The sequence below is a fragment of the Homo sapiens genome, chromosome 19, assembly GCF_000001405.40.
Source record: "Homo sapiens chromosome 19, GRCh38.p14 Primary Assembly".
Lineage (NCBI taxonomy): Eukaryota > Metazoa > Chordata > Mammalia > Primates > Hominidae > Homo > Homo sapiens.
The window spans coordinates 42,124,142-42,138,031 of NC_000019.10; the positions used below are offsets into that span (position 1 = coordinate 42,124,142).

At 53.3% G+C, this 13,890-nt stretch overlaps 1 protein-coding gene, 1 long non-coding RNA gene and 1 other non-coding gene across 29 annotated transcripts in view, besides 3 other annotated features; 1 reads left to right on the forward strand and 2 right to left on the reverse strand.

Moving 5' to 3' along the window:
• The window catches only part of POU2F2 (POU class 2 homeobox 2), a 111,827-nt gene that overhangs the window by 38,032 nt on the left and 59,905 nt on the right, over positions 1-13,890 (reverse strand). For 20 of the 27 annotated variants that reach the window (NM_001247994.3, NM_002698.6, NM_001393936.1 and 17 more), the window contains exon 1: positions 8,243-8,305. The exons of 3 other annotated variants lie outside the window; for them this stretch is intronic. In NM_001247994.3, coding sequence (NP_001234923.1) covers positions 8,243-8,270 — 28 coding nt within the window. In that variant the 5' untranslated portion in view covers positions 8,271-8,305. Of the gene's footprint in view, positions 1-37; positions 154-8,242; positions 8,306-13,890 lie in introns of those variants that run through there. 4 more of the 27 variants (XM_047438966.1, XM_047438965.1, XM_047438962.1 and 1 more) reach the window with 3 other exon arrangements.
• Positions 5,747-5,856: an enhancer, noted in NCBI's record as "active region_14701". NCBI's record gives its function as "activates an Ori minimal core promoter by ATAC-STARR-seq in GM12878 lymphoblastoid cells {active_cell/tissue: GM12878}" and the evidence as "EXISTENCE:reporter gene assay evidence [ECO:0000049][PMID:35858748]".
• Positions 8,488-12,958, forward strand: LNROP (long non-coding regulator of POU2F2). Its single transcript, NR_038332.1, has 3 exons — positions 8,488-8,620; positions 8,764-8,887; positions 12,531-12,958. It is a non-coding gene; the product is annotated as a long non-coding regulator of POU2F2 (long non-coding RNA).
• Positions 8,987-9,246: a silencer, noted in NCBI's record as "silent region_10686". NCBI's record gives its function as "represses an Ori minimal core promoter by ATAC-STARR-seq in GM12878 lymphoblastoid cells {active_cell/tissue: GM12878}" and the evidence as "EXISTENCE:reporter gene assay evidence [ECO:0000049][PMID:35858748]".
• MIR4323 (microRNA 4323) lies at positions 9,304-9,372 on the reverse strand. The gene has a single exon (NR_036208.1). It is a non-coding gene; the product is annotated as a microRNA 4323 (primary transcript).
• Positions 9,527-9,576: an enhancer, noted in NCBI's record as "active region_14702". NCBI's record gives its function as "activates an Ori minimal core promoter by ATAC-STARR-seq in GM12878 lymphoblastoid cells {active_cell/tissue: GM12878}" and the evidence as "EXISTENCE:reporter gene assay evidence [ECO:0000049][PMID:35858748]".

Below are 13,890 nucleotides of genomic sequence, written 5' to 3' on the forward strand. Positions count from 1 at the left end.
AAAGACACAAAAATTAGCTGGGCATGATGGCACGCACCTGTAGTCCCAGCTATTGGGGAGGCTGAGGCAGGAGAATCGCTTGAATCCAGGAGGTCAAGGCTACAGTGAGCTGTGACTGCACCACTGCGCTCCAGCCTGGGTGACAGAGTGAGACCCTGTCTCAAAAAAAAAAAAAAAGAAAAAAAAAAAGAATGGAGCTAAAGTAAGGGATAAGAAATAGGAAGAACTCAGTAACTGTAAAAAAAAAAAAAAGTCTAGAAATCTTGCAATTGAGTATTATTCAATGTGAAATGCTGCTTGAGTTTTAAATTCCTAATTAAAAAAACAGGTCATGCATTGCTGGTGGGAGTGTAAATTGATACAAGCACCACTCAGAAAAGCTGAAAAGATGCCCTCTCCCTAAGATGCAGCACGTCCACTCCTGGGCATCTGCCCAAAAGAAACACGTGTCCTGCCCATCAAAGGACATGGGCAGAATTCTTCTGCAGTCTTTCATAATGGCCCCAAACTGGAAACAGCCTAAGGGGCCGTCAACAGGTGAATGGATAAATAAAATGTGGTATGTCCATACAATGAAATATGCCACAGTAATGAAAAAGAACAAACTCCTGCTTCATACACATGGCCGAAGCTTGGAGACATGAGGCTGAATGAAAGATGCCAAACACAAAGGCAGACATAATTTATGATTCCAATTACAGGAAATTCAAAAACGGGCAAGCTGATAGCAGATGATCACAGTCAGATGAGTGAGCACCTTGGGGGTACTGACTGGGAAAGGGCATGAGGAAGCCTGCACCAGGTAAGAAAGGATCTTGTTTGGTGGTTACAGGGTCCTTACATAAGCAAAAATTCATCAAGCTATACACTTAAAATTTGAGCACTTTACTCTATATACGTTATGTTTTAACAAGCAAGAAAACATTTAAAAGCTAAAAAGCAAAACGCCAGCACACAGTCCCATTAAGATGCACACTGCACCAAGGCAGGTAGATCACTTGAGGCTAGGAGTTTGAGACCAGCCTGGGCAACATAGTGAAATCCCCGTCTCTCCAAAAAATAAAAAAGTTAACCGGACATGATGGTGGTGGGCACCTACAGTCCCAGCTACTCAGTAGGCTGAGATGGGAAGGTCGCTCGAGCCCAGGAGATTGAGGCTACAGTGAGCCGTGATTGTACCACTGCACTCCAGCTTGGATAATAGAGCAAGACTCTGTCTCAAAAAAAAAAAAAAAGATGTAGACTGTTGAGGGTGGGGGTGGGGAGTGGGTGCCCAGGACGCTACCAGAGTTCAGGTCCTGTTTCCTGGCCCTGGGGACAGGGCATTAAATGGCTACTGATACAAGATATAAGAAGGACAAGAAGGGAGCTGGGCAGCAAGTGTGTCCTGACTTTGGAGCAGTAAAGGCGGGAATCCTGCCTGATCCTAGCTCTAGTTCACCCAGACCTTAGCCCTACTTCAGGCAGCCACTAACTCTAACCCGGTCCTAAATCCCACCCCTCCTAGCATCCCTAAAACTGCAGCCCCAGCCTCCTCTGGCCTCCGTCCCTCCAGCGGAGCTCCACATTGCCTCAGGGCAATCCTTTCCTGGCTCCTCCCTATCTCCTGGAGAAATAAACAACCTGGCCTCCAGGGGCTGGCCCACCACCCTGTACTGCTCTTCTCTTGCAGCTCATGCACAGTGCTCTTCACCCATGTCGAGCATCTCCCCCTGCTTGGGGGTCTGCTTGACAGCAGGCTGTGCAGGTTCTACACTCCCACCTAGCTGGGCATCCCTCTCCCGTCCACAGAACAGGGCAGCCTCGGACCCCACTGCCAGCCCAGAAAGTCCACACTCATCCTTAACCTCTGCTATGGGCTAAGTTGCATCTACCAAAATTCATACACGGAAGTCCTAATTCCTGATACCTCAAAATGTAATTGTATTTGGAGATAGGGTCTTTAAAGACGTAATTAAGGTAAAATAAGGTCATTAGGGTGGACCTTACTACAATCTGACTGGCATCCTTATAAGAAGAGGGGGCGGGCGCGGTGGCTCATGCCTGTAATCCCAGCACTTTGGGAGGCCGAGGTGGGCAGATCACCAGTTCAGGAGTTTGAGGCCAGCCTAACCAACAATGTGAAATCCTACCCCTACTAAAAATACAAAAATTAGCCGGGCATGGTAGTGTGTGCCTGTAATCCCAGCTACTCAGGAGGCTGAGGTAGGAGAATCACCTGAACCCAGGAGGCAGAGGTTGCAGGCAGCCGAGATCGTGCCACTGCACTACAGCCTGAGTGACAGAGCAAGACTCCATCTCAAAAAAAAAAAAAAAGAAGAAAAAGAGGGAATTAGGTCACAGATGGGAACAGAGGGAAGACCATATGAAGACCCAGGAGAAGACCAGTGGACCACAAGCCAAGGAGAGAGGCCTTGGAAGAGACCAACCCTGCTGACATCCTCGTCTTTAACTTACAGCCTCCGTAATTGTGAAAATGAATTTCTCTTATTTCAGCCACCTAGTCTGTGGTACTTTGATGTGGAAGCCCTAGCAAACTAAGCCTCTCACAGCCCCTGCCCTCCTGCTGTCCCATCCCTGAGCCCCCAGTTGTGGCTGTCTGTGTCCAGGTTCCTTCCCCACAAGACCAATGCGACAGGCCTGGTCTGACTCATCACTGGGTCCCCAGCATCACAAGCCCAGAACGGGTTGTAACTGCTGAATGTCCCTCTCTTTAGCAGTCTCTGTTTCCTACTACTTCTCACCCTTGTCTTACTGTCTCCCTGCTATTTATTTTATTTAATTTATATTTTGAGACAAGAGTCTTGCTCTGTCGGCCAGGCTGGAATGCAGTGGCACAATCACGGCTCACTGCAGCCTCGACCTCCTGGGGTCAAGCTATCCTCCCATCCCAGCCTCCTGAGTAGCTGGGACTACAGGTGTGCACCACCACATCCAGGGACTACAGCTGTGCACCACCACATCCAGCTAATTAAAAAAAAAATTTTTTTTTTTTGTAGAGACGGGTCTCCTTATGTTGTCCAGGCTGGTCTCAGACTCGTGGGCTCAAATGATCCTCATGCCTTGGCCTCCCAAAGTTCTGGGATTACAGCCATGAGCCACCATGCCTGCACTTTGCCATTTAAAACATTTCCTGAGGCCTTGGCATGGGCTGTTCCCTCTGTCTGGAACACTGTTCCCCAATCTGTCCACCTGGCGACCCCCGGACTCATCCTTCAGAACCCAGCATAAGCTCTGTTTTCTTTTCTTTTTTTTTGAGATGGAGTCTTGCTGTGTTGTCCAGGCTGGAGTGCAGTGGTGGGATCTCGGCTCACTGCAAGCTCCAGAGGTCTCCTGGGTTGAAGCAATTCCCTGCCTCAGGCTCCCAAATAGCTGGGATTACATGTGCGCGCCACTACGACTGGCTAATTTTTGTATATTTAGTAGAGAAGGGGTTTCACTGTGTTAGCCAGGATGGTCTCAATCTCCTGACCTCATGATCTGCCCACCTCAGCCTCCCAAAATGCTGGGATTACAGGCGTGAGCCACCACGCCCGGCCATAAGCTCTGTTTTCTATGAAACCACCACCTTGATGCCCCCAGCTCCCAGCCAGGTCTCTCTCCAGCTCCCCATACCCTAGCACCTTCCCTTGTCACTGTCTTAGAGGCTGACTGTAGCTAGCCGGGCCCCACTATGTCTCCCCTATCAGACTAGGAATTTTTCAAGGGCAGATCTGATCTCAGGTTCCTAAACACTCCCCAGCAGAAGACATGTGGATCAGTGGCCCCAAGGTCCTGATCTCCCTCCCCCAGGCCTTTGCCTCTGCTCGTCTCCCACTTGGGTGACCCTTTCCTTCTCTACTGGCAAACTCTTGCTCCTCTTTAAGGTCCAGCTCAAATGTCACCTCCTCTGTGAAGTACTCTCTGATTCCCCAGATGGTCAGTGTCTCTCTCTTCTGGGCTTCACTGACCCTGTACTGTGCTCCACCACATCCTGATCATCCTGGGCAGAGACCTCCACCCCAACTGTGGGCTCCTCAGGAGCCCAGGCTGGAGTCATTGCTGCACAGGCCTAGGAGTACGTCTTTGGAATGAATGAATGCATTAAAGAATCCCCTAACTGACCAGGGCCCAATCCTGTCTAAAACAAACCCCTATCTCTACTGTCACCCAACATCCCCAAGAAACCCTAACTTAAATCTTTAAGGTATGATTTCCTCTGCAGAGACTGTGGCTGGAAAGACAAGAGTGGTTTGAGGGAAATTTTTCACCATTCTGTTACCCTTATTCTCCCTAAATTATCCCAACCACTCCTACATATCCCTGCATACTCCCTGCCCCACACTTGGCTGGGTCACAACAAAATGGCCAACTGCTGCCCTTTGTCTTTTCTCTTTCCACCTCCCCTGTCAGAGCTCAATCTGAGAGAAGGGTCAGATCATTTCCACCAGGAATGAACAGGGAGCTCCATTTCCACCGTGGACTAAAAGCCAAATGACGCCTTAACAGGGACTCCAGGGCACTAGCAATCATAGACTTGGAGGGTCCATCAAATGGCTCGGCCTCAGCCTCAGCCTGAGCCCAGGCAGAGATGCCCATCGCCTATCACTCAACTCTAGAAAAATATTGATGCCTGTTCCCACCCTAGACTCTGATTTCAGTGGTACAGGGTGTGACTTGGGCATCCAGATATTTAAAAGCCCCTCCAGGTGATTCTCTTTTTTTTTTTTTAGACAGAGTCTCACTCTGTCGCCCAGGCTGGAGTGCAATGGTATGATCTCAGCTCACTGCAACCTTTGCCTCCTGGGTTCAAGCGATTCTCCTGCCTCAGCCTCCCGAGTAGCTGCAATTACAGGCATGCATCACCATGCCCGGCTAATTTTTGTATTTTTATTAGAGACGGGGTTTCACCATGTTGGGCAGGCTGGTCTCGAACTCCTGACCTCAAGTGATCCGCCCACCTCAGCATTCCAAAGTGCTGGGATTACAGGCATGAGCCACCGCACCCAGCCCCCTCCTGGTGATTCTAATGTGCTCCATCCCCTGGCACCTTCAGAAGCCCCTCTCAAAGCCTCATTCACACACAAAAGATTGGTTGGTTATGTATGGCTATTCCCACCCCTCATCATAGGTAATGTGTAATATTTTAGGGGAACTGAAAGAGAAAAAGCAATGCATAGCCCTACCAGGCCCCTTGGAGCCATGTTGCCCCTTGAATCCCACCTTCCTCAGGTCAGACACCCCTCAACCAGGGCTGCCCAGCCCTGAGCTCACACTCACTTGCCCGACTGCCCCAGGCCTGGGACTCTTGGTCCTCTCCACCCTCCCACTCCTCCCTCCCCGGACTTTCACTTCTCCTCTGCATTTCCCCCCGCCAGTTTTAGCAGACTTAGGCCAGCTTCTCGTTAGCACTTACCGAAAACGGGGCTAAATATAGAGGGCCCAAGGACTGCCCCTCACCCCTCCTGGCCCCACTTGTCCTGTCCCCTGGGTCCCCTGCCTCCGCAGCCTGCTTCAATTAGGGGTATGGCCTGGGAGCCCCTGTGGGCAGGTTGGTGCTGCCGGGAACCTCTGTGGGCCCAGCTGGCCGAGCCCCCGTCCTCCCCAGAAGCAGCACCTCACCCCTCCCCACCCCACAGCTGTCCCTGGGTGGCCTCAAGGGAGTGAACATTTCTGAGTTGTCAGGAGGGAGGGATGGAGATACAGGCAGCAGACACAACAAGAGAGGTGGCCCCACAGCTGCGCTGACAGCAGGCAAGAGCTGCCAACAGTACACACCCCATGGCCACAGCCAGGCAAGGCCCCGGCCAACACAATACAAGAAACAGATGTGCACAGATTCCAGACAGGAATGTGAACAGGTTTGCAGATACGACACATGCCCAGACATGATGCCACGGGCATATATGCAAAACACACACCCAAACGTGCGTACACACATGCACTCACACACACTCTCACACTGAGTGACACACAGCCAGCCAGACACACGTAAAAAGTATACAAACTCACACACCCGGAGTCGAACACAGACATACACCCTCCCCCTACATACTACACCCAGTCACTCACAGACTCAGACATGTGTACGCACACATGTACTTACACATGTTCTCACACCAAGTCACATCAGTCCAGCCAGAGATACACACCCAGACATGCACATGCTCACACAGAGTCACACACACAAACACAAGTGCACACACATACACCCAGAGTCACCTTATCCTGGAAGATGGCCAGGGCTGACCTCTGAACCCAGTTCACAGGTGTGGAGTCTGAGACCAGGCAGGGTGAGTGATCTGCCCACAGCCACACAGTGTATTAATTCATGTCCAGGCAGGGAAAATTCACCCCAGTCTTCCCACACTGGGCTGTTCTGTGAGAAATCCCAAGTAAAGGGTTTAGCCTACTGCCCAGCACCTCTGAGGTCCCCATTTAACCCCAGAGAGGAACGAGTCAGTGGGAGCAGACACCCTGGATCTCTGTGTCTACACTGTATGGACACACACACATATACACAGTTGCATACACAGTCACCTCAACAAATAAACATGTCACCCTGCAAATAGTCTTCCTTTCATCCCACCCCTCTCCTCACCGCCTTTGCTTGCTCATACCCACTCATTCTTCATATCCCTGCTCAGACACCCCCTTCCTCCAGGAAGCCCTCCTTGACACTCTACCAACTAAATCACATGTTTTCAGGGCTCCTACGATCCCCTAATACCTCCCCGTCCTGGCCCAACCCCTCTACCTATGTCCCCCTATCCCAGCCCTGACCCCTCTGCCTGGGCCTCCCCCATCCCAGCCCCAACCCCTCTACCTATGTCCCCCCATCCCAGCCCTGACCCCTCTGCCTGAGCCTCCCCAACCCCAGCCCTGACCCCTCTGCTTGGGGCCTCCCTCATCCCAGCCCCAACCCCTCTACCTTTGTCCCCCCATCCCACCCCGACACCTCTGCCTGTGCCCACCACCCCAGCCCTGACCCTTCTGCCTGGGCCTCCCCCATCCCAGCCCTGACCCCTCTGCCTGGGCCTCCCCCATCCCAGCCCTGATCCCTCTGCCTGGACCTCCCCCATCCCAGCCCTGACCTGTCTGTACTGTCATTGGTGACAGGTCTGTCTTCTCCAATAAACTGGGAGCTCCAGGAGGACAGACCTGAGCTACCCTTTCCACTGTACTTCCAACACCCAACACAGAACTACTCAATAGATACATGTTGGTGGAGGACACACGGGTGCCCGCACACAATGGCGCATATAGGACAGCACACACCACCAAACCAAGACTCATGCCCATGGTCATGCCTACACAGCCACAAATGAAACAGGCATGAAGGGCTGAGTGCTTGCCATGTTCCAGGCACTGTGCTAAGCATGCTACATGTATTACCTCATTTAAGACTCCCATCAACACTGCTGAGTGATAGCCATCACCATACAGACATATACACATTCTACTAAATGAGCCAACAGCTATAAATCACCTTGTACAGTGCCTGGTGCACAATGTTCACTCAGCCAACTGACATTTGGTGGAGAAGGCATTTAATAAGCACACAAACAAACACATAATGAAATTCCCAGCAGTGATACGTGCCGTGAAGAAAAGATAAAGCAGGGTGAGGGGACTGAGAGTGACAGGATCAGTGCCAGTTTAGATGGGGAGGTCAGGGAAGGCTGCCCTGAGGAGGTGACATCTGAGGTGAATGAAGTGAAGAAGGGAGCCAGGCAATCATCACCCCACAATGCCACACACAACAGCCCCCTACACTCACAAGCACACAGCAGTCCCACTCAGAGCACTCAGAACTACTGCACACACACATGCACACGCACACCTGTACCAGATGTGCACACACACACTCAAAAGGGAATGACATCCCCCAAGTCCAGCAACTTGGCATTCCAATCCCTTTGCAGCCCTTATCCAAGGATTGCCCATGTCACCCACCCCACTGGTTCTCCACATGAGGGCCCGCTACCAACACCCAGCTCCCTCCCTCCCGTCCCCAGACCCTTCGGAACAGGGCAACAGAGAAGAGAAGATGTTGGAAGTTCCGGTGCCTGATGTGGAAAGAGAGGGCAAAGAGGAGCTGTGGGGGTTAGCGGGGACCCGGCATGGGAGAGAGGGAGTTGCTAGAGTACAGAGGAGAAGGACAATGGAGACAGCTGAGGAGGAGGGGCAGGCAGGGCCCGCAGAGCAAACCTAAATGTGCTGCCTGTCCTCTGAGCAGTGGCACAGGCACCAGCCCCCTTACCTGGAGCCCCCATGCTGGAGTGAACCATGCTGCCCGCCCCGCCAGGGCTGGGGGAACAACTGTGTCATCTCCCCACCCTCTCTGGGGGCCGAGCCCTCCCTGCCGGAAGTCACTCAGGGAGGAAACCACAGGGCCGGTCCGCCCCCTTCAGAAGGGAAAATACCCTGGCCCACAGACCCGCCCCGGCAGCCCGGCCCACCCCAAATCATGTGTGTGTGCTGGGGGGTGGGGGCTAGTGGGGCAGAGGATAAGCAGGCTGGAAGAGCCGACTCCTACGGCTGCGATCCAAGAGGTGCCTGCAACAGTTGCCCCCCGACTTCTGTCGCCCCCATGGAGGCAAACAAGTCTGGAACAGGGAATGGGGGTCTGGGAGAGAAGGTGGGTCCACAGCAGTAACAACAATAAAACACTAGCCAGCAGCTTATTGGAGAGAGGGCTTTGCCGATGCCTGACCCTGTGCCTCACTCTTGACAGGTGCCATCTCCAATGTGGTGGTCACTCTTATTTGCCCCATTTTACAGATGAAAAGACTGAGGATCAGAGAGGTGAGCAGTAGCTTTCCCAAAGGCCCAGAGCCAAGAAGCGTTGAAGCTTAAAAGCACGCCGCGGCAGGGAAGATCAAGCAAGCCCTGCGCCTATCTGCAGGTGAGCTGTTGGGTGCCACCATTGGGAGGAAGTGGTGCCCGTGGGCAGTGGTAGTGGGGACGGTGGGTCGGGGACTTGGCCTGGGGCTACAATAAGTCGCCGGCCAAATGCGGGCGCCCGAGGCGGCTCCAGTGGAGGGGAGCACCAGGTCCCCGGGCTGCCGGCTGGCTCTTCGCGCTGCGGCGCTCCCATTTCAGCGCTTCCCTCCGTGCCCGCCAGAGGGCGGCAGCGCCCAGCCAATGGGCCGGAGGGCGGGGCCGGCTGCGGAGAAGGGAGCCCCTCCCTCCGCTCCCCTCCCCAACACCCTCCCAACACCTCCGCTCGCACACCTGCGAGGGTCACACAAAGGCGCAGGACTCCCGGCGCACCGCAGCTCAGACAAAGGCGCGCCCGAGTCCGCTGCCCTCTTCCTCTTGGTGCCCGAGGTCTGAGGCTGTGGGGCTGCCTGGCGTCTCCAGACACCCCACATGCCCGCCTGGGCCCCGCAGGACATCCTGCGCCCCGTGGCTGGGGGGCCCCCTAAACCACAGGTGCATGCACAGACGCCTGGACTCACCCTCACACACACAAGTATTTCTACAGATGAACCCCAGCACTTCACACACACACACGTGTGCACACACACGTGCATGAACACATCTATGTGCACAGGCCCCAACACCAGCCCTCCCTGCTGACGATGGTCACTCCCATATACTGATACCTCCTCTACTCCCTCACATGGACCCATGGGCACAAGGGCACTTCTACACATATGTGCCCAAGCATACTTCCTGGCCACTCGCACCCACTCACACACAGGCACACTCAGAAAGGGTATACTACAGGCACAACTACAGGAGTGCCCTCCCCTGACTGCACACGTGCCCTGTGCACCCAGACACACCCAGGCAAGCAGGTGGGCACAACAGGAAGGACTGGCAGTTCTCATATATGCACACGAGAGGTGACCGTTTCCCGGCATCTACACTCCACAACATCCCGTATCGTAAAGGCCATTTCACAGAGGAGATCCACAGACCACACAGCAACTGGCCACAGGATTTCTATACATGAGGGTCTTCCCGACAGCAGCCTGGTAGCAGTGGACACTGGAGCCTTGTCTCAAAGCGACATTTACGCAGTAAGCTTTGTTTTCAGTTAGGATTTGTTTTGGGGGGCTTGGAAATGGGGCTATAGGACATTATGGGGGGGGGCAAAACCTCACCAGCCACCCTTATGCTCCACCCTGGACAGACTCAACATCATCCACGTCAGGAACACGCTTTTGGATGTGACCCCATTCCAGCCCCCTAGAGCCAGCAGAGAAGGACCACCCACTTCCAGTGCGGCCAGGTCTGCAGTTCAGTCCTGGAGCCGGGGAAGGCTGTATACGCTCCCTGAGAGATGAAACAACCCCACACCTCTCGCCTCCCATGCTGGCTCCATTCTCAGTGCCTCAGACCAGAGCTGGGCCTGGTGAGGGGATCTTGAAGGAGGATGGGCCTGCCTGAGAGAGGATAGAGGGGCAGAGTTTGGAACACACTGGCAGCTGGAACAGGGAGGCTCAAGGCAGGGGGAGATGGTGGCCTCGTTGCCACAGAAGAGGCCTCGAGCCATGCTGAGGGAGGCAGGTAGGGCATGGGAGCTAGGGAGCAGTGGGGGCCACTTGAGGTGCAGGGAGCTGGGAGGGAGGCGGTACAGGGGAGGCCAGGCTGGGCTCAGGGCTGAGCGGTAATTAAAGGAGACGTAGGGGGCTCCCCAGGGCCAGCGGGGCTGGTAACTGACACGCGGGCCCCATTGCTCCGCTCATATTTCTCGCCGGATCGATACGTTTGACTCCCGACAAGACAATAATCGCTTGTACGCGGCCGGCGAGTCGATCAAATACATTATTAGAGCGAGGTCCCCCGGGGGCCCGGCGGGGAGTGGTGGGGGGGAGCAGCCAGCCCACCGGGGACAGCAGAGCGAGATTCTTCACCCCTCAGGGCCCCCCAGCCATGGCCTCTTCCTCTTGGCCACCCCTGGGGACCCTCTCTGTGGCTCAGTTCCCCAGCCTCTCTCTGAATGTCTGCTGCTTTGGTGATCTCTCTACTCAGCCCCCAGCATCATCCTTGCTCTGTGAGGGAACCCAAGGGTTCTTTCCCCATAGGCACTGCCCTCATCTGTAGGGCTGTGGCATGTGGGAGCTCAGAGAGGCTCCTCAGACCCCTAGCTTGGCAGGAGACAGGGAGACCAAGCCTCAGGCCATACTCTGAGTCCATGGCTGGGCCAGGAGATGAACTTGGGCCCAAGACTCAATGATACCCACCTCCCTCTGCCCAGTCCCCTTGCTGCATCTAAGCACACGGGGCTTCAGCAGCGCCCAGGCCAGGGGCAGCCTCTGGGGGGTTAGGGAAAGCTAACCTAGGGACCCAAACAAGCAGGAAAACAGGATGATAGGGGTGGCAGGAAAACAGGATGATAGGGGTGGCAGACAAACACATACACAAAGAGATGTGTGTCTGCTCCTGCTGCAGGGCCATGTGGTCCCCCAGTGGGCCTCAGAGACCCTCAAACCATGCCCAGCCTCAGCTCTGGCCCACCCGAGACACTGCTTGCCACTCTTGCCCACTTTCCTGGCTTCTAGGCTCAAGCCTATTTCCCCTTTTAAAAAAAATTAAATTAAGCTTTAGCTTTATTTTTAAAGTCCAGGCTCTTTTTTTTTTTTTTTCCTTTGAGACAGAGTCTCACTCTGTCGCTCAGGCTGGAGTGCAATGGCACAATCCCGGCTCACTGCAACCTCCGCCTCCTGGGTTCAAGCGCATCTCACGCCTCCTCAGCCTCCCGAGTAGCCGGGATTACAGGTGCACACCACCAGGCCAGGCTAATTTTTGTGTTTTTAGGAGAGACAGGGTTTCACCACATTGGCCAAACTGGTCTCGAACTCCTGAGATCATGTGATCCACACACCTCAGCCTCCCAAAGTGCTGGGATTACAGACATGACCTCAAGCCTATTTCCTGTTTACACACCTGCTTTGCCCTCTAGACCCGAAGTGCCCCTTTGCTTCTCCAGCAGCCCTAAGTCAAAGTCAAGTTCTGCTTAGGAGTATCCAGCATTCAGGGACTTAAAATATATCTTCCTCTTTGTCTTCATTAGCAGCAGCAGCCCCCACAGCATTGTGGTCTATGCTTTCCTTTTTTTTTTTTTTTTTTGAGACTGTCTGGCTCTGTCACTCAGGCTGGAGTGCAGTGGCATGATCTTGGCTCACTGCAAACTCTGCCTCCCAGGCTCATGCCATCCTCCCACCTCAGCCTCCCAGATAGCTGGGACCACAGGCGTGCACCACCACATCCAGCTAGTTTTGTATTTTTAGTAGAGACATGGGTTTTGCCATGTTGCCCAGGCTGGTCTCAGAACTCCTAGGCTCAAAGCCATCCACCCGCCTCAGCCTCCCAAAGTGCTGAGATTACAGTCGTGAGCCACTGTGCCTGGACTACTCTGTGCTATTTGAACCAATATATTATTTCTAAGTCCTCATGACAGTCTGAGGAGGTAAAGGTCTGCTATCATCCTCATTTTACTAACAAATTGAGCCTCAGAAAGGTGAAGTCTCCTGCCCCAAGTCACACAGCATGAGTGGTGGAGTCAGGATTTAAGCCCAGGTCTGTCCCCCTGACAGCTTGATCTCTCTGTACTGAGCCATGGAGCTCCTTCTTGGAGGCGTGAAATGCTCCCCATCCTTCAGGAGACAACAGCAACAGCCAGCCACTCCTTGTCCAGTCAGCAATGCTGGAATACCTCTGCAGCTCACAGTCCAACGCCCACAGCCTTCGAGTCAGTTTCTTGATATTCGGCAATGCACTGGACTCCTGATCCCATCAGCTCCTGGCTGAAGGTGGGCCAACCCTTCCCCATTTCCTTCAATTCAAACATTTCCTCATGTCCCTCAGTGCCAAGCCCTGTGCTGGGAGCTGAGGACCCAGAGGTGAGCTAGATCTAAAATCTGACCTCAAGGAGCTAACAGTCTGAGAGGAAGACTGGAGTGGATAAAAATACCTTGGTAATTTATCACTTAATAAATATCCAATAAATGCTATTATGTGCCAAGCCATTGCTAAGCTCAGAGAATACAGTGGTTAAAAGCAACCCATAGAGCTTATAGTCTTTGGGGGAGAAATAATTTTTAAAAGTTATCAACTAGCAGGGCATGGTGGCATACCCCTGTAGTCCTGGCTCCTCTGGAGGGTAAAGCAGGAGGATCACTTGAGCCCAGGAGTTCAAGGCTGCAATGAGCTATGATGGCACCACTGCTCTCCAGCCTGAGTGACAGAGCAAGACTCAATCTCTAAAATAAATAAATAAATAAATAAAATAAAAAATAAAAAGCCATCAAATAAATATGTAATTCTAAGTTAGGAAAAGTGATTTCAAGAATAGGTAGAGGAGGGGCTGGGCATGGTGGCTCACACCTGTAATCCTGGCGCTTTGAGAGGCTGAGGTGGGAGAGTTGCTTGACACCAGGAGTTTGAGACCTGTCTGGACAACATATCGAGACCCCATCTCTACAAAAAAAATTGTTTTAACTTAGCTGGGTGTGGTGGTGTGCGTCTGTAGTCCCAGCTACTCGAGAGGCTGAGGCGGGAAGATTGCTTGAGGTCGAGGCTGCAGTGAGCTACGATCATGCCACTGCACTCCAGCCTGGGTGACAGAGAGAGACCCTGACTCTTAAAAAAAGTAGAAGGAGGATACCTGATGTAAACAAAGGATGGCATGTTGCAGAAAACTGTCCCAAGGAAGTGACATTTACATAGCAATTAGACACAGTATTCTCGAGGCAAAGAATGTGAAGGAAGACACTCCAGGCAATGGGAACAGAGGAGGCGATGGCCCCATGGAAACAAACAGTGTGGCAATTCCAGGATCAGAAAGGAGGCCTATAGAGCTGGAGCAGAGTGAACAAAGAAGAGAAGATAGGAGACGAGGTGTGAGGTGGAGAGGCGGCCAGGGCCAGATCGCACAGGGCCTTGCAGGCCAAGGTA